The 23,655-nt window shown below is 49.6% G+C and overlaps 1 pseudogene, besides 1 other annotated feature; it reads right to left on the minus strand.

The window, feature by feature from the left end:
* On the minus strand, window positions 5,981-19,363 carry CYP2AB1P (cytochrome P450 family 2 subfamily AB member 1, pseudogene; annotated as a pseudogene).
* Window positions 19,644-20,145: an enhancer, noted in NCBI's record as "H3K4me1 hESC enhancer chr3:183626615-183627116 (GRCh37/hg19 assembly coordinates)". NCBI's record gives its function as "activates a minimal SCP1, AML or CMV promoter by ChIP-STARR-seq in primed H9 embryonic stem cells {active_cell/tissue: H9 hESC(primed)}" and the evidence as "EXISTENCE:reporter gene assay evidence [ECO:0000049][PMID:30033119]".

Genomic DNA, 23,655 nt, shown 5'->3' on the forward strand with positions numbered 1-23,655 from the left:
GGGACAAAGCGAGACTTTGTCTCAAAAAAAATAATAATCATTAAATAAATAAAAGATTCTGATTCAGCCAGGCACGGTGGCTCTAGCACTTTGGGAGTCCTAGGTGGGTGGATCACCTGAGGTCAGGAGTTCGAGACCAGCCTGGCCAACATGGTGAAACCCCGTCTCTACTAAAAATACAAAAATTAGCCAGGTGTGATGGTACACGCCTGTAATCCCAGCTACCCAGGAGGTTGAGGCAGGAGAATCACTGGAACCATGGAGGCAGAGGCTGCAGTGAGCTGAGATCATGCCGTTGCACTCCAGCCTGGGCAACAAAGCAAGACTCTGTCTCAAAATAAATAAATAAAAGATTCTACTTCCTCAGTTCAGAATTCCTCTCCTTAATGCAACCCACTGAGTCTGCAGGTACAGTCCAGCCCTCTTCACATTGCTCCATGAGAATTGGGACTCAAGGAACCAGCACAAAAATTCTAATAGTCTGGCTAATGCTATTGCTGTGGGTAATAAATTGTCCTTCATTTCTGACCCAGGAGTCTTGTATTTTCTGCCAGCACCCATAAAACTATACCAGGCTAACTTGTTAGTTTTCAAGTAGGGTGAAATATTAGACCCTTCACGATTCTCTATAGGGATCTGTGAATTTACCATTTCAGAGGGTGAGAGCTTCTCTTAGGGACTGAAAAGAACTTGGGTGTGGCCATAGGGCTGATGGCTGAAGAGGAACGAACTGAAAGTCACTAAACATGAGGGAGCTCAGAAACAGAGAGGTCCTGGACGTTGACTGCATTGCTCACACGAACTTGAGGTCTTCAGGGTGATGGCAGGACTTGGAATGAAATCCTAACATTTCAGTGAAGAAGAGGGTGACTAGAAGGCTATTAATAGTGCTGAAGAGGTGCTAGAGATAAAGGAGACAGTTTCAGCAGAGGAGACATATGTGGTCAAGGTGGTCTTTGGGCAAGTAATCTGGAAGAATTATGAGGGCATGAGGAGGATGCTCACCTCCGGAACCTAAGGGGCCTGGGGCTGGGGTGTGCTGAATATCCTCCGCTTGCCCCTCCAGCTCACTCTCATACACTGCTCCAGGCCACCGGAGGCTGACTTTTTTTTTTTTTTTGAGACGCTCTCTCGCCCAGGCTGGAGCACAGTGGTGCGATCTCTGCTCACTGCAACCTCCGTCTCCCAGGTTCAAGTGATACTCCTGCCTCAGCCTCCCGAGTAGCTGGGATTACGAGTGCCCCCTACCATGCCTGGCTAATTTTTGTATTTTATTATTTTCTTTTTAGACAGAGTCTCACTCTGTCGCCAGGCTGGAGTGCAGTGGCACGATCTCAGCTCACTGCAACCTCTGCCTCCTGGGTTCAAGCGATTCTCCTGCCTCAGCCTCCTGAGTAGCTGGGATTACAGGCACACGCCACCACACCTAGCTAATTTTTGTATTTTTAGTAGAGATGGGGTTTCACCATGTTAGCCAGGATGGTCTCGATCTCTTTACTTTGTGATCCGCCTGCCTCAGCCTCCCAAAGTGTTGGGATTATAGGCGTGAGCCACTGTGCCTGGCCTAATTTTTGTATTTTTAGTAGAGGCAGGGTTTCACCATATTGGTCAGGCTGGTCTTCAACTCCTGACCTCAGGTGATCCACTCGCCTCGGCCTCCCAAAGTGCTGGGATTACAGGTGTGAGCCACCGCGCCCGGCCAGGAGGCTGACCTTTATGGACTACATCAATGGGCTCTCTTGCTCTCTGGCTCCTAGCTGGGCTCAGCCAATTACAGCCACAAACAAGAGATCGGAGCATAAGGGAAAAATGAGTTTAGAGCACTTATTCTTCCCAGTCCCTCCCTTCTTGAGCCACATGCATTGGCTTCTGTGTTCTCTGTTCTGAAACTCTCCTCATTGCTCCATTTGAGTGAGTGAGCGTGCCCTTTCTGATCAGAACCTGAACTGGCACAGGAAACAAGCACCCTCCATTCAGAGGCTGCAGGAGCATCCTCAGGGGACAGCCAGGGCTCAGTCAGCTGACAAAGGGAAGGACTGGGTAAGGTGTGCTGACCATGAACCAGGCGAAGGAATATTTATTGATTATTATTAGTAGTTGCAATTTATTAGGCACTTAGCATGTACCAGGGACTGTGCTAGGTATTCTTCATGCATTATTATATTTTTAAATTTATTTTTATTTATTTATTTTTTTTGAGATAGTCTCGCTATATTGCCCAGGCTAGAGTGCAGTGGTGCCATCTCTGCTCACTGCAACCTCCGCCTCCTCGATTCAAGCAATTCTTGTGCCTCAGCCTCCCGAGTAGCTGGGATTACAGGTGCCCGCCACTAAGTCCGGCTAATTTTTGTATTTTTAGTAGAGACAAGGTTTCACCATATTTGGCCAGGCTGGTCTCGAACTCCTGACCTCAAGTGATCTGCCCGCCTTGGCCTCCCAAAGTACTGGGATTATAGGCATGAGTCACCACACCCGGCTGCATTATTATACATATATATACACGTATATATATACATATATACGTGTATATATACATATACACATATATATACATATATACACATATACACGTATATATACATATATACACATATACATATATACACATATACATATATACACTATATATACACATATACATATATATACGTGTATATATATGTATATATACGTGTGTGTGTGTGTATATATATATATATTTTTTTTTTTTGAGACGGAGTCTTGTTCTGTCACCCAGGCTAGAGTGTGGTGGCATGATCTCAGCTCACTGCAACCTCCGCCTCCCGGGTTCAAGCGATTCTCCTGCCTCAGCCTCTCAAGTAGCTGGAACTACAGGCGTGCGCCACCACACCCAGCTAATTTTTGTATTTTTAGTAGAGACAGGGCTTCACCATGTTAGCCAGGCTGGTCTCGGACTCCTAACCTCAGGCAATCCACCCGCCTCAGCCTCCCAAAGTGCTGGGATTACAGGCGTGAGCCACTGCGCCTGGCCGCATTATTATATTTAATGTTAATATCAATCAAATGAGTTAGCATTGTTATCTCCACTTTGCAGATGAGGGAACTGAGGCTTATTGATATTCTGATACTTTCTAACTAATTCACCGGCTAGCTTCTGACTTTTATTCCTGTAAATTCAGGCTGGCCCGGTGGCTCACACCTGTGATCCCAGCACTTTGGGAGGCGAAGATGGGCAGATCACCTGAGGTCAGGAGTTTGAAACCAGCCTGGTCAACATGGTGAAACCCTGTCTCTACTAAAAATACAAAAATTAACCAGGCGTGGTGGCGCGTGCCTATAATCCCAGCTATCCGGGAAGCTGAGGCAGGAGAACTGCTTGAACCCGGGAGGTGGGGGTTGCAGTGAGCCAAGATCACTGAACTCCAGCCTGGGTGACAGAGTGAGACTCCATCTCAAAAATTAATTAATTAATTCAGATAATTGTATCTACCTTGTCACTTTGGTATTTAAATGGCTTCGTCTATGTTAGGTGCCCAGTGCACTTCCTAGCACACGGTTGGCAATCAACACATGGCAGCTATTGTCATATCGTCATGAGGATATGGAAGCTGAAAGGGAAGCCTATCCACAGGGGAAGGGCTCCCTGCAGCGTCATCATTTTAGAGCTAAAAACAAAGGTGCGAGTACTTTTGGATGCTGTCTAGGGGAAGGAGAGCCCTGCCAACATAAACAGAGCATTCATCACCCGCCAGGCCCTGTGCTGGGCATTGTCACTCCCGACAATCCTAAAGGAAGCCTCCATTTGTCATATGAGGAGACCGAAGCACACAAGGACTGGGTTATTGAGAGCAAAACTGGGATTTCAACCAAGGCCAAAGTCCAGGTGAGGGAAAGCTTCCTGGAGGAGTTGGCCTTTCAATGGAATAACACGCAGAGGGCTGGACAGGATCAAAGACAGGAGGCTGGATGGTGGAGAGGATGAGTGTTAGAAGGGGCTGCAAGCTCCAGACAGGGGCTCTAACAGAGAAAGGGTTAGGAAAGTGAGGTAGGAAGCAGGTGAATTAGAGCCTGGCTTTGTTTTCTCTGCCCCAGATCCTGCCTGGATCACAGAGAGCTGCCAGCTCAGGGTGGGACCTCCCAGGGCCGAGAACCCCAGGCTGTCTCCTGCTCTCTGGGACCCCACTTGCCTAGTGCTTCCCAGTCTGGACTCCCGAGGCCCTGGATATGGCACCGCACAGAAAATAAGATATCTATGAGAAAGCTCCAGGATTTCACAAAGCCTGAAGAAAGGCCAGAGGCTAATTCACACATCATGGTTTTTGTTTTTTGTTAGGTTTTGTTATGAGACAGGGTCTTACTCTGTCAGCCAGGCTGAAGTGCAGTGGCGCGATCTCTGCTCACTGCAATCTTCGCCTCCTGGGTTCAAGCGATTCTCCTGCCTCAGTCACCCAAGTAGCTGAGACTATGGTGTGCACCACCACGCCCGGCTAATTTTTGTATTTTTAGTAGAGATGGGGGTTTAACCATGTTGCCCAGGCTGATCTTGAACTCCTGGCCTCAAGTGATCCACCCACCTCAGCCTTCCAAAGTGCTGGGATTACAGGCGCAAGCCATTAAGCCTGGCCAATACGTCATGTTTTATTTCTGGTTAGACTCCTTTCAGCCTGGTGTAGCAGTAATGATTGATCTCCTACTAATTAGAAACATTGGTTCATTCATATGTACGTCCTTTAAATAACACAAAAGAGAGAGGTAAGGCATTTCCTTTTTTTTTTTGAGATGGAGTCTCATTCTGTCTCCCAGGCTGTAGTGCAGTGGTGCAATCTCTGCTTACTACAACCTCCGCCTCCCAGGTTCAAGCGATCCTCCTGCCTCAGCCTTCAGAATAACTGGGATTACAGGCACGTGCCACCATACCCAGTTAACTTTTTTGTATTTTTAGTAGACAGGGCTTCACCATGTTTGCCAGACTGGTCTTGAACTCCTGACCTCCGGTGATCTGCCCGCCTTGGCCTCTCAAAATGCTAGGATTACTGGCGTGAGCCAACGTGTCCGGCCCGAGGCATTTCCTTTTTAAAGCTCAGATTTATTGAGGCATGGCTTATATACAATAACACTCATTTAAGTGTACAGTTGTATGAGTTTTGACAAACACATACAGTTGTGTAACCATCACCACAATCAAGATACAGAACATTTCTATTACCCCAGAAAGTTTCCTCATGTCTTTTTACAGTCAACCTATAACCCTGCTCCCGAATCCTGGCAGCCACTTATCTATGGAATATTTTCTGTCCCTATAGGTTTGCCTTTTTAAGAATATCACAGAAATGGAATCATATAATTCATAGATATGCATTTGTGTGAACATATATTTTCATTTCTTTTGGGTAATACCTAAGATTGGGACTGCTGGGTTGTGTGGTGTAATGTTTAATTTTACAAGAAATTGCCAAACTGTTTTCCAATGTAGTCGTACCTTTTTACATTTCCACCTGCAGGGTATGAGAATTCCATTTGCTTCGCATCTTTTCCAGTACTTGGGATTGTCAGGGTTTTCTTTTTAGCAGTTCTAATCGGTATGTAATGGTATTTCATTTGATTTTAGTTTGCATTTCCTTGATGCAAGTCAGTCTTTTTTTTTCTGAGACAGAGTCTCGCTCTGTCACCCAGGTTGGACTGTAGTGGTATAATCTCCGCCCACTGCAACCTCTGCCTCCAGGAACTCACAAGTCATTCTTTGTTTTTGCTTTTGTTTGTTTGTTTGTTTGTTTGTTTGTTTTTGAGACAGTTTCACTCTTGGATCCCAGGCTGGAGAGCAGTGGTGCGATCTTGGCTCACTGCAACCTCTGCCTTCTGGGTTCAAGCGATTCTCCTGCCTCAGCCTCCCGAGTAGCTGGGATTACAGGTGCCTGCCACCATGCCCGGGTAATTTTTGTATTTTTAGTAGAGATGGGGTTTCACCATGTTTGCCAGGTTGGTCTTGAACTTCTGACCTCAAGTGATCCACCTGCCTCGGTCTCCCAAAGTGCTGGGATTACAGGTGTGAGCCACCATGCCCAGCCACAAGTCATTCTTTTTTAATAAACAAGGCTTGTCTGGAGATGCAAGGATTCAAAATTTAGGGACCCTTGTGTGGAAACTAAAGTGGGTCTTTGGTGAAGAATTTGCTGGAAACAGTTATATGGTCTGCTGGCTTTGCTGTATTGAGATGGTGAGATCTTTCTCTGCCCCAGGTCTGCAGAGAACTGCAGTTCTTCCTTCTGGTCAGGAGAGGGCAGGAGAAGGCAGAAAATAAGCTGCCCCCGCTTCACTTTTTTTTTTTTTTTTTTTTTTTTTGGTTTACCAGTCCCCGGCATCTAGAGTATTCGCATTTGCATGCATTATTATATTCATAGTTTTGCTCGAAAGTTTGCCTTTTCCTCTGAACCTAGTTAGCTGCTGCCTTGTGAGGCTTGATTCCCCAATATTAACTTTGTGGACTGATTTAATGCCAAACTTAACCAATCTTATAAAATCTTCGCCTGCCAAAGCATAACTAACCTAATTTAAGAATTGAACTACCCAAACTGAGCTACCTCTGTAGAATCCTTGCTAAGTCTATTCTCCAGTGTCACCCCACAGAGCTTGTGTTAGGGGCAACCATGAGCAGCTGAGCTGCATGAACCCCTGGTCCTCCTCTTTTCTAACTTTGCAGGAACCAAAAGAGACTGAGGAAGGACTTCATGGGGGACAGGCCTCCAGACCCCCAGTGGCTACAGGCCATCCTCCCTAGGACCAGGGCTGGGGCTGCTCAGGCGGGGCACTGCGCAGATCTCCTGGGGCTGGGGTTGCCAAGTGCCGCCAAAGATGTACTCCAGCTTGAGCCCCGGGCTCCCTTCTGGCAGTTGGAACCGAAAGGTCCTGAGGAGGGTGGCAAACATCAGGAAGAGCTCCATTTGAGCCAGCTGGTCTGCTGGGTAGACACGATGCCCTGGAAACAGAGAGAAAAGTCAGAGGTGGCAGCTGTCCCTGTGTCTGTCCCACCACAGCCCCACCCACCACCCAGGATCCAGCTCTGTGCCTAGTACCTGCAGAGAATGGCAGGAAGGCCTCATTGGCCACAAAGTTTCCATCCTTGTCCGAGAAGTGGCCAGGGTTGAACTGTCGAGGGGTCTCCCAGCACTCAGGGTCATAGAGCACAGAGGCCAGGTTGGGTAAGATGATGGTGCCCTGCAGAGAGATGCTGGTGTGGCTCAGGGAGCCTCAGATGGTACCCAGTACCCAGCCCTGACACTGAGCCACAGTGAGCTTGGAGAATACCCAGTGTGTTGGTGGGAGTAGTCCAGGGGCCTTGAGGAGACTCAGCAGCCGGCCCTCAGGCTGCCCTTCCTCCAGGCTCACATCAGTGAAGGAGCTGAGCAGGACACCCTCCTGGCTAAGGACTGCCCAGCTTTGTCCTGAAGACTCCCAGCCACGTCTAGGGACATGAAGCCATTGCCTCCTACAGAGAAGGCCAACAGCTGGGGGCATGTCTGGAAGGGGCCAAGGACAGCCCAGGACAATACACACTGGGGCAGGGGATGTGTGCACACGTGGGTGTTAAGAGGAAGAGACAGAACGAGGAGAAATGGAATGGCAAACAAGCAGAGAAAGAGGAACTGAGTGATGGAAAGACAGAGAGGAGACAGCAAGCTTCACTCTTTAGGGTTGGGGAGAGGAAAACATGAACCATAAGCCCAACTCTAACCTTCAACCTAACCCCAACCCTCACCTTCCCCCAAACCCAAACCCAAATCTTCCCTCTCACCCTCACCTCAGCCCTCACTCTATCTCAAAGGAGAAGTGAGTGATTAGAAAGAGAATCAGACCAAGCAGATGGGAGCAGGGTAACATCTGCTCCTTACCATGTGGGCCCTGGGCTGACCGGAAACAGCATAAGGAGGCCAAAGTGGAGCCAGGATGGGGTCGGTTATGGTCCCCAGCCCTAGAACACTCAGCTCTGGGATTCCGGGGAAGGCCTCATACCCCAGGGCTCATTTACCAAATACCACAAAATTAAACCAGCTATCCCTGTAGAGACCAGAGGGCTGACTACAGAATTCTTGATTCTGACCAAAGAAAAAGCTTGAAATTAAAAAAAAAAAAAAAAGCTTAGCGAGTTTGAAGCCTGCATTCTAAACAGAAACCAATAAAGAATGCAGAAATGGAGCAGCAGATGCTGGCTGGTCGCAGTGGCTCACACCTGTAATCCCAGCACTTTGGGAGGCCAATCAGGGCGGATCGCTTGAGGTCAGGAGTTTGAGACCAGCCTGGCCAACACGGTGAAACCCCATCTCTACTAAAAATACAAAAATTAGTCGGGCGTGGTGGCAAGTGCCTATAGTCTCAGCTACTCGGGAGGCTGAGGCAGGCAAAGGTTGTAGTGAGCCAAGATCACGCCTCTGCATTCCAGCCTGGGCGACAGAGCAAGATTCCATCTAAAAAAACAAAACAACAACAACAAAAAAAAAAACAGAATGCAGAAATTGTTTTCAGGGGAAATTGTTCTTTTTTGCCGTTGTTGCAGTACGGCACGCTTAGGCAAGGTGCCTCATCCTAGCCATGTGTACCAATAGGGCACCCAGACTTGCTCACTCTGTAGCTTCAAGCAGAGGTGTTGGGGAGGCCTGTGTTCTTGCTGCTGCCTGAGTGAGCTATAGATTTCCCAGTTCTAGTCATGGGAATTCCCCCATTTTCTCTACCTGGGATTAAGTAACCTCTGCATTGCAACGGTTCTTACTAATCACCTTCAGAGGAGGAGGCTCCTAGCAAGATGCTCTTTTCCCTCCAGAATTATTTGTGTCCTTTTTTGGGTGATGTTCTGGCCTCCTTGCAAAGGAGGTTCTCAGCTCATGGAACAGGTTCAGAGCACAGCCTATCCAGTATGCAAAAAGGACAGCGCCCCGCCCCCCGCAACAACCGCCCTCCACTTCCCCAGACTGTAGAACCATCTACCTGCTGGGTACCTCCTGGGGTCGCTGTGCCAGCTTCTGCCCAGTAAATGGCAATTTGGAATTCGCAATCAAATAGAATGTCTGAGAAGAGAGACAGGCTGGAAGTGCAACCGTCGTATCAGGGACTATTGCTGTTGTCACGATCACTCAGCTGATGAAATGGTTAGGAACAGTTTAGGAATATCTGTAACATTTAATGATCTACTGTCAAGCTTTGATTCCACTTTCAGCAGACATCTCTCGTCCAAGTTGTAAAAGCTCAATATTGATTTCAGCTCGTTAATGGGCCCCTGGAGCCTTTATCACAGAACAAGTCCTAGAATCAAATTGGCAGGAATGAGCTCTTAATAAGGAAATTTCTAATCCCAAACGGCATAACACAGAGCAGTACCCTGGCCCCCTCTTTTTAACTTAAGTTGGCACAGCTTCTAGACAACCTGGGCCTGGGTCCTTCTGCCACGCCAGCAGCAAGATGACCTGATGCCCTGGTCCTATCCACTTTCCCAGAGACTCTTGACAAACCTGTAAACTTGCTGGCCAATTTCTGCCAAGGACAGAATGACAGTGTAAAACATCTCCATTGAACACATTGGTTCACTTACCTAGAGTGGCATTTTCGTATAAATACAAACAGCAGGGCATATGGTAGGAAAAGAAAACACTTTAGAGTCAGAGGGACATGCATTTGAAACTCAGCTAAGTCACTTACTAGCTGTGTTTGGGCAGTTTCTTAAGCTGCCTATGCTGAAGTTTCTCTATCTATGGAAAAGAAACAGCAACAAAGCGTCCGAAGGATAGGGCTTCTGTGAAGAAAAAAATCTGTGGAGGAAGGAACCTCAAGTCTGGGCAAATTAATAATAAGTTAATAATGGGGCTGGGCATGGCGGCTTATGCCTGTAATCCCAGCACTTTGAGAGGCAGAGGCAGGAGTTCAAGACCAGCCTGGCCAACCTGGTGAAACCCCGTCTTTACTACAAATTAAAAAAAAAATAAAAATAATAAAAATTAGCTGGACGTGGTGGCACGTGCCTGTAATACCAGCTACTTGGGAGGATGAGGTGGGAGAATTGCTTGAGCCCCGGAGGTGGAGGCTGCAGTGAGCTGAGATCACACCACTGTACTCCAGGGCAGTACTCGGGGCAGAGCCAAAGCTCCTTTCCGAGGAAAGTCTCAGGGCTCCCGCCACCACCTCTATGTACAGAGGCATCACCCTGCACCAGGGCACCAAGATGAGTCGCTCTGTTTCATTTTCATTAAAATGGCAACCTCACCACCTACACATGTTGGTATGTTACCTGTTGCGGGAAGTCAGGGACCCCGAACGGAGGGACTGGCTGAAGCCATGGCAGAAGAACCTGGATTGTGAAGATTTCACGGACATTTATTAGTTCCCCAAATTAATACTTTTATAATTTCTTATGCCTGTCTTTACTGCAATCTCTAAACATAAATTGTAAAGATTTCATGGACACTTATCACTTCCCCAGTCAATACCCTTGTGATTTCCTATGCCTGTCTTTACTTTAATCTCTTAATCCTGTCAGCTGAGGAGGATGTATGTTGCCTCAGAACCTTGTGATAATTGCATTAACTGCACAAATTGTAGAGCATGTCTGTTTAAATGATATGAAATCTGGGCACCTTGAAAAAAGAACAGGATAACAGCAATTGTTCAGGGAATACGAGAGATAACCTTAAACTCTGACCACCGATGAGCCGGGTGGAACAGAGCCATATTTCTCTTCTTTCAAAAGCAAATGGGAGAAATATCACTGAATTCTTTTTCTCAGCAAGGAAGATCCCTGGGAAAGAGAATACGCGCCTGGGGGTATAGGCCTATAAACGGCCCCCCTAGGTGTGCCTGTCTCTTATGGTCGAGGCTATAGGGGTGAAATAGACCCCAGTCTCCCATAGCACTCCCAGGCTTATTAGGAAGAGGAAATTCCCGCCTAATAAATTTTTGGTCAGACCAGTTGCTCTCAAAACCCTGTCTCCTGATAAGATGTTATCAATGACCATGGTGCCCGAAACTTCATTAGCAATTTTAATTTTGCCCCAGTCCTGTGGTCCTGTGATCTTGCCCTGCCTCCACTTGCCTTGTGATATTCCATTACCTTGTAAAGTACTTGATGTCTGTGACCCACACCTATTTGCACATTCCCTCCCCTTTTGAAAATCCCTAATAAAAACTTGCTGGTTTTTGCGGCTTGTGGGGCATCACGGAACCCACCGACACGTGATGTCTCCCCCAGACGCCCAGCTTTAAAATTTCTCTCTTTTGTACTCGTCCCTTTATTTCTCAAGCTGGCCGACGCTTAGGAAAAACAGAAAAGAACCTACGTGACTATCGGGACAGATTCCCCGATAGTTACCCCAGTTAGCCTTGACTCCCAGGATACACACCTTTGTGTAATCCCCTCCCCTTGAGGATAGGATGGATTTAGTAACTCACTTCTAACAAATAGAAAATGGGCCAGACGCAGTGGCTCATGCATGGAATCCCAGCACTCTGGAAGGCCAAGGTGGGAGGATCACTTGAGCCCAGGAATTTGAGACCAACCTAGGCAACATGGTGAAACCCCATCTCTACCAAAAATTTAAAAATTAGCCCATTGTGGTGGCACAATGTGGTGCCTGTAGTTCCAGCTACTCAGGCAGCTGAGGTGGGAGGATCACCCAAGCCTGGGAGGTTGAGGCTGCAGTGAGCTATTATTGTGTCCCTTCACTCCAACCCAGGCAACAGAGGGAGACACTGTCTCAAACCAACAACAACAACAACAACAAACCCAACAAATAGAATATGGCAAAAGCGGCCGGGTGCGGTGGCTCACACCCGTAATCCCAGCACCTTGGTAGGCTGAGGCAGGCCAATCACTCGAGGTCAGGAGTTCAAGACCAGCCTGGCCAACATGGTAAACTCCATCTCTACTAAAATATACAAAAATTAGCCAGGCATGGTGGCACATGCCTGTAATCACAGCTACTCGGGAGGCTGAGGCAGGAGAATTGCTTGAGCCCAGGAGGCAGAGGCTGCACTGAGCTGAGATTGCACCACTGCACTCCAGCCTGGGGTGACAGAGCGAGATTCTGTCTCAAAAAAAAAGAATATGGCAAAAGCAATGGGATATCACATCTAAGATTAGGTTACAAAAAGACCATTGCTTCTATTTTGGGTGCCCTCTTGCTTGCTCTCTCTGATGGGGTTCAGCTGCCATGTTTTGAGCTACCCTATGCAGAGGCCCATGTGTCAAGGAACTGAAGGTCTCCAGCCAACAGTTCATGAGCAACCGGGTCCTGAAGACCTCCATGTAAGTGAGCTTGAAGTGGAGCCTCCCCTAGGGGAGTCTTCAGGTGACACTGTAGCCCCAACAACAACTTGATGGTAACCTCATGAGAGACCTTGAGTCAGAGGCATCCAGCTGAGCCACACCCATTTTCCTAACCCTCAGAAACTGTGAAATGATAAATGCTGTTGTTCTAAGCCACTAAGTTTTGGGGTAATTTGTTACACAGTAAGATAGGTAAGTAATTCAACATCTGTCATCTAGGATCTGCAAGGCTCCGTCAACAATACAGAGCACCATTGTACCGAATGACACCGTGGGCACAAAGCCCTCAGCACACAGCAAGCCTGGGCAAAGAGCAGGTGTCCTCATGTTATTGTCCAGCTCACGTCAAAAATCTGCTCGGAAAGCTATCTCAAGCTGGATCACCAGAGAGCTATCATCTTCAACTATGCTCGAGACCAACCTGGGCAACATGGTGAAACTGCATCTCTGCAAAAAAACAAAGCAACAACAACAACAAAAACAACGAAAATTAGCCAGGCATGGGGGCTCATGCCTGTAGTCCTAGCTACTCGGGAGGGTGAGGTGGGAAGATCGATTGAGCTGGGAGATAGAGGCTGTGGTGAGCCGTGATCGTGCCAATGCACTCTAGCCTGGGTGACAGAGCAAGACTCTGTCTCAAAAATAAATAAATATTGGCCGGACGCGGTGGCTCATGCCTGTAATCCCAGCACTTTGGGAGGCTGAGGCAGGCAGATCACTTGAGGTCAGGAGTTCTAGACGAGCCTGGCCAACATGGTGAAACCCTATCTCTACTAAAAAATACAAAAATTAGCCGGGCATGGTGGCACACACCTGTCATCCCAGCTACTCGGGAGACTGAGGCAGAATAGCTTGAACCTGGGAGGCAGAGGCTGCAGTGAGCCAAGATTGAGCCACTGCACTCCAGCCTAGGTGACAGAGCAAGACTCCATCTCAAAAAAAAAAAAGAATAGAGGTTAAAAATAAATAATTATTTATATAAACTTCAACTGTGTTATTTTGGCTGACTGTAGGAATGAAAGGAATTTTATCTCTTAAAAGGAATTGAGATAAGAAGCAGCTGCCATCTTGAAGAATATTTCTGCATCTTTTAAAAACTCCTGCTTAAATCACTGCCACTACATGGTCCACTGGCCCACAAAAGAATATTGTGAATGATGATCCTTGTCATAACTTACAGGCATGTGATAAGCCAAAGCTTTCCTGATACAGGCATGCTTCCTTTTATTACATAATAACTCATAATTAATCGAGATTTCCTTTTTTCCCTTCACTCCAATGAAATTCAGACTCGAGTTTTATGTACATATGTGGCAACTGTTCTTGATTTGACTTATTTTTATAACTTTCTTCCTCTCTCCTTATTTGGCACTTGTTTTCTTAACCTTGCTATAAAATGAAAGAAGCAAGCAAGGCATTTCTGCTAGAAACCAGTTTTAAGGAGATAATACAAAATGCAGACCAAGCCTAAGGCACATAAATTGCAAATGGCCTAAATGTTCACCAACAAGGGTTAAAATTGCAAAACATCCATTTGGTGGAACATTATGCAGCCATTAAGAATGATGTAGATGCCCAGTGTGGTGGCTCACACCTGCAATCCCAGCACTTTGGGAGGCCTAGGCGGGCGATCACCCGAGGTCAGGAGTTCGAGACCAGCCTGGCCAACATGGTGAAACCCCGTCTTTACTAAAAATACAAAAAAAAAAAAAAAATTAGCCAGGCATGGTGGCACACCTGTAGTCCCAGCTATGTAGGAGGCTGAGGCAGAAGAATCGCTTGAACGTGGGAGACAGAGGTTGTGGTGAGCCGAGATCACACCACTGCACTCCAGCCTGGGAGACAGAACAAGACTCTGTTTCAAAAAAACAACAACAAAAACAAAACAACAAAAAACAGAATGATGTAGAGCAGTGGTTTTCAAAGCATGGTCCCTGGACTCACAGCATCAGCACCACCTGGGAGCTTGTTAGAAAGGCAAATTCTCAGCCCACCCTAGACAGATAATGTCTGGAGGAAGAGTCCAGCAGTGTCTGCTTTCACAAGCCGTCCAGGTGATTCTGATGTACCTGGAAGTTTGAGAACCACTGCTATAGAAGAATCTGAATATTAAGTGCAATGAAGGATTCAGAATGATATATTCAGCAGAATTGCAACTATGTAAACTATATGTGTGCAAAAAAAGATTGGAGAGTGGTGGATTATCATGTCTGCAAAGGTTATCTCTGAACAACAGAGAACTTTAAAAATTATCCCTCAGTGAGTACATTCTTTATATTATACATTTTTTTTTTGAGACAGAGTCTCACTCTGTCACTCAGTACGGAGTGCAGTGGTGCAATTATGGCTCACTGCAGCCTCAACCTCCCGGGCTCAAGCGATCCTCCTGCCTTAGCCTCCCAAGTATCTGGGACTACAGGTGTGCACCACCATGCCTGGCTAATTTTTTTTTATGTTTTATAGAGACGGGGTCTCGCCATGTTGCCCAGGCTGATCTTGAACTCCTAGGCTCAAGCAATCCTCCCACCTCAGCCTCTCAAAGTGCTGGGATTGTAGGCGTAAGCCATGGCACCCGGCTACATTCTTTTATAATCATAACCCCCGTCCCAAACGCCACAGAGAGAGAGAGAGATTAAGTGACTGATAGCTGGCAGGTTGGCAGAAGCTATAGCAGATGGCTGTGCTGGCAGGAAGGATGCTTTCTGCAGGCACTGGGTTGGGTGTGGGGCTGCGTAGGGCCACCTACCTTGCTCACGGGATAGCTGCACACACGGGTGGAGGTCACACACTGGCGCACGGCACCCATGGCCATGACGCTGCTGAGGCGCTGCACGTCATGGAGGACAGCATGGTGTAAGGCAGTCGCTTGCGGTCTTCATAGCAGACAACCGGGGCAGCACCCAGCACCTCGTCCAGCTCCAGCTGCACCGTCTCCGCAGGTGGCTTAGTGTGGGTCTGGGGAGGGTTCCTGTGCCCTGGCACCCCCATCCTCCCTCACCGCCTCCGTCCCCACCCAGGACACTGCTGCCGAGGCTTGCGGCCCTTGGGTCACCCCAAACCACCCTGTCACCCCTGGTCTCACAGGAGCAGACCCTTCTCTGAGGCAGAGCTTGCTTCTTATGAACAAGGTTTTGTAGGGTTTCCTCCTCCAGGGGGCACTGGAGGGAAGAGAGAGCACCCAGATTTGAGAACCTGCTATGTGTCAGGTGCTCTATATGAACAGCATTATGGCCGGGGGCAGTGGCTCACACCTGTAATCCCAGCACTTTGGGAGGCCAAGGCAGGTGGATCACCTGAGGTCAGAAGTTCGAGACCAGCCTGGCCAACGTGGTGAAACCCCATCTCTACTAAAAATACAAAAAAATTAGCGGCTTGTGGTGGTGCGCCTGTAATTCCAGCTACTCAGGAGGCTGAGGCAGGAGAATCACTTGAACCCAGGAGGCAGAGGTTGCAGTGAGCCAAGACTGTGCCACTGCCCTCCAGCCTGGGTGACAGAGTGAGATACCGTCTAAAAAAAAAAGCATTATGGAGGAGGGACTGTTGTCTCCATTTTACAGATGGAGAAACTGAGGCTCTAACAGGACAGGTACTTTTGCCCAAGGTCACGAAACTTGTGGCACCAGATTTGAATTCAGGTCATAGTCAGTTTGTCCTTGAGAGAAATCCAGCTACATTTTCCCCTCCACAGTTGTGATCTTGAGGTGGACATCGGCACAGGGCCTGGCACTTAGTAGGTGCTGAATCATTACTGAATGAGTAGAATAGTGTTGTCCATTGTACACTGGGTCTGAGAGGTGGAATGACTTGCCCAGCATTACGCAGTAAGCAGCAGGGTGGGAACTGAAGCCCCTCCTGTCTGACTCGAAGCCATGAACACTTCCTGTACCACAGTGGCGAGAGCAGGACCCACCCCTGGGGCCACAGAGCAAGGAGAGTGATGGAGGCAATGCCCATGGCCCAGAAGCCCCATGCATGGGGCAGTCAGCCAGAGTGTGACCAAGGGCCTGTCACCCTGGACAGCTCCGTGCTGGATCATGTGGATGAGTGCCCAGCACAGGGTGGTGGCTGTGGTGTCGGTGCCTCCCAGAAACAGGTCGATCACCACCTAGACCAGGTTCTCCTGGTTGAATGTGGAGACAGGGTCATCCATGGCCTGGCGAGTCGGGGGTGGGCGAGTGGGGGGCGCAGCTCCAGGTCTAAAATTCTCTCCTGACAGAGCCCTGGGGTTTCCTTGAAGCCTGATCTGAGACCTGTGCGGCCAGAACTTGAGGTTCCAACCCCTTGAGAGGGCCTGATTCTCAGGACTGCATTGATGTTGGTGGGTGGCTGCCCTGGTGTTCTGGCCCTGACATCAGCCAGGTCTTCTGCTTCCCACCCTACCCATGTCTGTAGAAGCCAGCCCTGCCCTGGGAAAAAGTAGGGAGGAAAACCCTGTTTTAACTCACATTTTCAGCGTGCTTTGGAAGCTCGTAGATAGAGTCAAAGATGAGAAACTGAGACCATGGCTTAGAAAGGAGGTGCTCAGAAACGAGGTGCAGCCCAAAAAGATGGCCCCTCCTTTCCTGAGCAGCTGTTCCAGGCTCACCTTGGAGATCTGGGCCAGGTAGCAGCTGATGAAGTCCCTGGGGGCCTCCGGTGCCCTGAGTTTGTGCCTGGTGATCTCCTGGTGGATTAAGCTCAGCACGACCTCTTGGTACCTAAATATCTCCTGGTGGGGTCCTGGGAGGTGGCAGAGGGCCCAGGGAAACACGTCATACAGCTGTGGAGAGAGACGCCCACCCAGGGCCTACTCAGGAGCCAGCCTCTGAGTCGGGGGGCTCCAAAGTGGGCTGGAGCCTTTGACTTGAGTAACCCAGGGCTGCCTCTCATCTGGAGACTCCCCAAATAATTTAGACAGAAATGAGAGCTGTGGTCAGAGCAGCTGTGCTTAGGGCTTCGCTGGGATGTTGCAGGTCCAGAAAGCTGTATGTCCTAGGATATAACCAGCCTCTGATTCCTTGCCCATGCATTCATGCTGAACCACAACAAAGGTTTGATGCTCTGAATGTGTCAGCTCACCAGGCAGAAGCCACGGTCTCCCTCCTGCCCACCTTGCACCCTCCCTGCCAGGCCCTGGCTGAGGCCCCTGCCTGCCTCGGGCCCCTAAGGTAATGGCCTGCACACCTGCCTCCCCAAATGCCAATTACCCGGCGCCACACAGTGCTGACAAATGCCAGGCCAAAGTCGATGGCTTGAGTCAGTTCCTGGAAGATGGGATCCTCTAAGAGGAAGTGGTGGCCAAACACAAGGGCCCCGATGACTCTGACTGTGGACCTGACAATGGATACCTGAGGGTCGAAGGGTCTACCTGAGGGTAGAGGGGCAGGGCTCAGGACGAGGAGGCACGAGAAGCACTACCCTGAGCACCCATCTGATCTCGTATCTAGTCGCTCATTTACTAACTCAGTCCTCCATTCCCATTCCTCACTCATGCACTCCGCAAATGCTTACCAGCCGGGCGCAGTGGCTCATGCCTGTAATCCCAGCACTTTGGGAGGCTGAGGCAGGTGGATCACCTGAGGTCAGGAGTTTGAGACCAGCCTGACCAACATGGTGAAACCCTGTCTCTACTGAAAATACAAAAATTAGCTGGGTCTGGTGGCGCACACTTGTAATCCCAGCTGCTTGGGAGGCTGAGGCAGGAGAATCACTTGAACCCGGGGGATAGAGGTAGCAGTGAGCCGAGATTGTGCCACTACACTCAGCCTGGGCAACAAGAGCGAAACTCCGTCTCAAAAACAAAACAAAACAAAACAAACAAAAACAAAAAAACCCAAGTGCTTACCAAGCACCTTCTACGAGCCAGGTCAGAGAGAGGCATGGGAGACAGACAACAATTTGAATGACAACAGAATAACAACAGAATGTGGGGCAGGTATGGCACAGCAGGGAATAAAAAAGGTTTGGGGGCCTGGCATTCAGGAGGATTTCTCAGGGCAGGTGACCGCAGCTGGTCTGGAGGAAGGAACAGTGGTTTCTCATGGGGAGGGAAGGGACATGGGCTGGGGCGTTCTGGAAGGGGAAATGCATATGCCAATGGCTGGAGGTGTGAGACGCCTGGGATGATTTGTTTGTTTGTTAGTTTGTTGTTATTTTATTTATTATTATTTTTTTGAGATGGAGTGTTGCTCTGTCGCCCAGGCTGGAGTACAATGGCATGACCTCGGCTCACTGCAGCCTCCTTCTCCCAGGTTCAAGCGATTCTTCTGCCTCAGCCTCCAGAGTAGCTGGGATTACAGGCACGTGCCCAACACACCGGGCTAATTGTTTGTATTTTTAGTAGAGACAGGGTTTCACCAGGTTGGCCAGGCGGCTCCCAAACCCCTGACCTCAGGTGATCCGCTCGCCTCAGCCTCTCAAAGTGCTGGGATTACAGAGGGGAGCCACCGTGCCCGGCTGCCTTGGATGTTGATGGAAAATCCCCAGCTATCAAGGAGGGCTGTGGCTTTCCAGTGACCTTGGCCATTCCTGGACCTCTGTCTACCCACCTTGGAGAAACTCCCACTCAATGGAGCTTAAAACGGCTGTTAACGTTCTGAGGCTTAATGGACACACACACGCCTATGCAGTGAAGCTCGCCTGTTCTGCAGGGGTGTGCGCGTGCGTGGGGAGAGGGGGTGAGGGTAGGCCTGCCGCCAGCCTGCTACTTACCCTGCTCCTGGCGGAAGGCTTCTGCCAGCTCTGCTGCCTCTTTCTGCAGCTGCACCTCCAGCGCCAGCTTGCCTAGGCCCAGCCCTCAAATCATCACCAGGCAGAAGCGTCTCTTTTGCCGCCACGTGTGCCCGCTGCTGCAGATGATGCCTGGGTCCGGGGTGGGGTGGGGTGGACAGTCGCCAGCCCCTCCCAGCCTCCCAGGCCAAGACCACTTGGCTCTCACCTGGGCCAGGCCTGGAGGGCAGACCCCAAAATCACCTCTGGGAAGATGCTGTGTCCCAGGGCTGAGGGGCATTTGAGGGAGTGGTCAGTGAGCTTGGTGCCCTCAAGGTGGTCTCAGCTATGCCCTCCCCCAGCCCACCAACCTGATTTTTCCTTTAAAAGTCCCCACAAGAAATGGAAGAGGAGATAAACAATGGGGGCTGGGCGCAGTGGCTGACACCTATAATCCCAGCACTTTGGGAGGCCAAGGCGAGTGGATCACCTGAGGTCAGGAGATCGAGAACATCCTGCCAATATGGTGAAATCCCATTTCTACTACAAAAAAAAAAAAAAAAAATTAGCCGGGCGTGATGGTGCCTGCCTGTAATCCCAGCTACTCGAGAGGCTGAGGCACAAGAATTGCCTGAAGCCAGGAGGTGGAGGTTGCAGTGAGCCGAGATTGTGCCACTGCACTCCAGCCTGGGCAACATAGCAAGACTCTGGGTCAAAAAAAAAAAAAAAAAAAGAAGAAGAAGGGGAGGAGGGGTTCTGGGGAGAGGGAAGGAGGGAACAAGGGCATTTGCTGAGCCAGGCACTGAGTGCGCACTCTCAGGTATTTTGGCCACTTAATCCCCTCCCCACATTCTCAGGATATAAAGCCATCATTATCCCCATCTACACAGGAGCCCACTGAGGGGCAGAGAGTGAGGCCGACTTGTCCGGGGTCCCAGAGCTGGCCAGGGCTTGGGTTGAGACTTGAATCCAGGTCTTTCAACTCCCAGAGCTGGTTCCTTGTCATCCCACCCCCACCCCTCACGCAGGTCCTCCTGGGCAGTCCCCTCTCTGTTAACAGCTCTGAGCCATCCCCAACTCCCTGAGTGTAGTGACCATCTAGCCGCCTCCCCCTCCCCAGCAGGAGGGGCAGCCCTGCCTCGTTCTCCAAACAGGTCCTGGAAGAGCGGGGTGAGGGACCTGCCGGAGAACTGCTCCGAGTTGGAGACCAGTGCTTCCTTCACCACCTGGAAGCCACTCAGCACCGCAACGGGGATCGGGCCCACCCACACGGTGAACACACTCTGCGCCAGCTGTGGAGAGATGGGGGACACTTACTGCAGGAGCACCTTCTCAGAGTGCCTCCAGCCCCGTTCCCCAGGCAAGCCAAGCCCTGGGTCACAGGTCCCCTGTGCACTTGGAATAGTCAGGGCCCATTAATCCTGGGAGGTGGAATGTTCTACCCATTTTACAGATGATATTAAATAACCAGTTTCTCAAGGGCTTGGTGTCCTACGTGGGCTTTACATATTTTGCTTGAGTCCACCCTCAGTATAAGTGTGCAGGTAGGCAATTTATCTCCATTTTATGAGTTTAAAAAAAACAGAGGCCAGGCCGGGTGCAGTGGCTCACGCCTGTAATCCCAGCACTTGGGAGGCCGAGGCGGGTGGATCACCTGAGGTCAGGAGTTTGAGACCAGCCTAGCCAACATGGTGAAACCCCGTCTCACTAAAAGTACAAAAATTAACAGGGCTTGGTGGTACACGTCTGTAATCCCAGCTACTTGGGAGGCTGAGGCAGGAGAATCGCTTGAACCCGGGAGGTGGAGTTTGCAGTGAGCTGAGATTGTGCCATTGTACTTCGGCCTGGGCAACAGAGCAAGACTCCGTTTCAAAACAAAACAATAAACAAAACCCCCAAAAAAACAGGCCAAAAAAGACAGTAAAAGATGAAGACCTAGAACCCAGGTCTCCTGACTCCCAGTACAGTGCTCTTTCCACTGCGTGGGAAGCCTGAGGATCATAATTGTCTGATAGCGCCAACCAGATATTTTTTAAAAATGTGTTGAGTGTGAATAAGAAGAGGGCTGAACATGGCCTTAGGAAAGACAGTGTCCTGCCCACAATCATTCTCAGCAGCACCCCAGTCCCACCCACTCAATCCAACAGCGCCCTTCAGCTGAGGCTCCAGCTACCCTGGTGGTGGCTTTGTGCACAGATTCCTTGAGTAACGTCACTTGAATGTGCCCTTGTGGGGGTCCCATTCCCCCCAACTCCCATCTCAAGTGGCTTTTCAGAAAACTTCTTCCAGCCACACACAGTGCTCTCCTGGAGTTGAGCTCTGTTCAGTGGTTTTCGCCACCCTGTTCCATTGGCAGTGGACTTCTCCTGCACTCAGAATTTCTTAGATTAGACTTCTTAGATTCTGCACGAAGTCCACAATTTCTGCAATCCCCCTCCCACCCTGCATTTGACAGGCGAGGAAACTGAGGCTCAAAGCCTCCCAGCTAATGAATGGTAAGACCAGGATTCACCCCACACGTGTCTGACCTCTGTTCCTTCTTTCTGTCTCCAGTGCCGCTGGTCTGAGAGAGAAGAGGGGTTCATCTGTCCACCCCTTTAGGGCCTCCAGCTTGAGCACAGGCTTCCTACCTGGAGCAGTGTCTCTGGGTGCAGCTGAAAGCATAGCTGCCACAGGTTTCCAAGGATGGGGAAGGGGAGTGGGCCAGGAGGAAGACAGCTCCTGTCCCAGCAGAAGGTGCCAAGTTTCAGGAGCAGGAAGGAGATGGCCAGTAAAGCCAGCCCACTGAGCAGGGAGAGCATCTCCCTGGTCCTGTGTCTCCTCTCCTCACTTTTGCTTCTCGGTCCCAAGGCTCTGACACACTGTGGCCACCACTCTCTCCCCGCTCTTCCAGGCGCCTGGCCTTGCTTTTATGCTGGTGCTCCCAGGCAGTGCTGTGGAGGGAGGCAAACCCAGGAGCCCTTCCCCAGTGGAGTAAATCCATTTGGTCACATCAGTCACACCCGGGCCATGCCACTCACCAGGGTGGCAAGGCTGTGGCCCGGGACAGGTTGAGACACCTTCACTCCTATATCAGCATCATCCTCACCTCTGGCCCTCGGAGCTCATCCCTGGTGAGGCTCCTCACAGCCTCTTCATGGCAGGGTCAGCTGACTGCATGGCTCAGCTCAGGGAGGGACAAGGGGCAGGCAGCCGCTAGCAGTGGCAGTGTCTCCCATCAGGACATGCTCTTCCATCTCAACACGCCTGAGGCTGGGCTCCTACTCCTGCTCTCCTCCGCCCAGATGTGCAGCAGCCTTCCTGAGGTCTCTTCAGCTTGTGCTGAATCCCCATGTTTCTCTGTAGCCTTCTCTCTGTCTCTCTCTCCCCTTGCCCCTCTGCCTTCTCTCTCTCTCTCTCTCTCTCTCCTCTCTCTCTCTCTCGGTTCTTTCTCCTGCCTCAGCCTCCCGAGTACCAAGTGCTGGGATTACTGGCGCCCACCACCACGCCCAGCTAATTTTTGTAGTTTTAATAGACATGGAGTTTCACCATGTTGGCCAGGCTGGTTTTGAACTCCTGATCCGCCCACCTCAGCCTCCCAAAGTGCTGGGATTACAGGTGTGAGCCACCATGCCTGGCCTCTTTCTTTCTCCTTTGTTTTCTTTCTTTCTCTCCTTCTCTCTTTCTGTCTCTCTCTCTCCCATTCGTTTGTTCGTTCTTTTTCTTTCTTTCGTTCTTTCTTTCCTTCTTTCTTTCTTCCTTTTTCTTTCTCTCTTTTCTTTTTCTTTCTCCCTCTCTTTCTCTCTCTCTCTCTCATTCTTTCTTTCTTTCTTTCAACAGTGTCTCACTGTGTCACCCAGGCTGCAGTGCAGTGGCATGATCATAGCTCACTGTAACCTCAAATTCCTGGGCTCAACCAATCCTCCTGCCACAGCCTCCTGAGTCTCTGGGACTACAGCGGCACCACCATATTCAACTATGTAGCCTTCTCTTAGGTTTCAACTATCTTGGAACCAGACTGCTGGAGTTTAAATCCCAGATCTATCTCTTACTGGTTTTGTGACCTTGGGCAATTATTTAGCTTCCTCTTGCCTCAGCTTCTTATTTGTACAATGGAGATAAGATCATTTTAGCAAATTGCATCATAGAGCTACTGTACCAATGCCCAGCAAGAGAATGATGTCACAGTCCAGTGGGGTACATTGAGGATAGTTTAATTAAGAGACTGTTTGCAGGCCTGGCGCAGTGGCTCACACCTGTAATCTCAGCACTTTGGGAGGTAGAGGTGGGTAGATCACGAGGTCAGGTGATCGAGACCAGCCTGACCAACATGGTGAAACTCCGTCTCTACTAAAAATACAAAAAATTAGCCAGGTGTGGTGGTGTGTGCCTGTAATCCCATCTACTCAGGAGGCTGAGGCAGGAGAATCGCTTGATCCTGGGAGGCAGAGGTTGCAGTGAGCTGAGATCGCAGCACTGCACTCCCGCCTGGGTGATAGAGCGAGACTCCATCTCAAAAAAAAAAAAAAAAAAAAGAGTGTTTGCAAAGATGTGTTAGGGAATCCATAGGCATAATGCCAGTCATGACAGAGACCCATTTCCACTTGAGGCTTAGAGAGTCAAGGGACAGTGTTCAGTGGGTACAGAGTTTCAGTCTGGAAAGATGAAAAAGTGTTCTGGAAATGGATGGTCACGATGATAGCACAATGATGTGAATGTACTTA

Source organism: Homo sapiens, chromosome 3 (assembly GCF_000001405.40).
Source record: "Homo sapiens chromosome 3, GRCh38.p14 Primary Assembly".
NCBI lineage: Eukaryota > Metazoa > Chordata > Mammalia > Primates > Hominidae > Homo > Homo sapiens.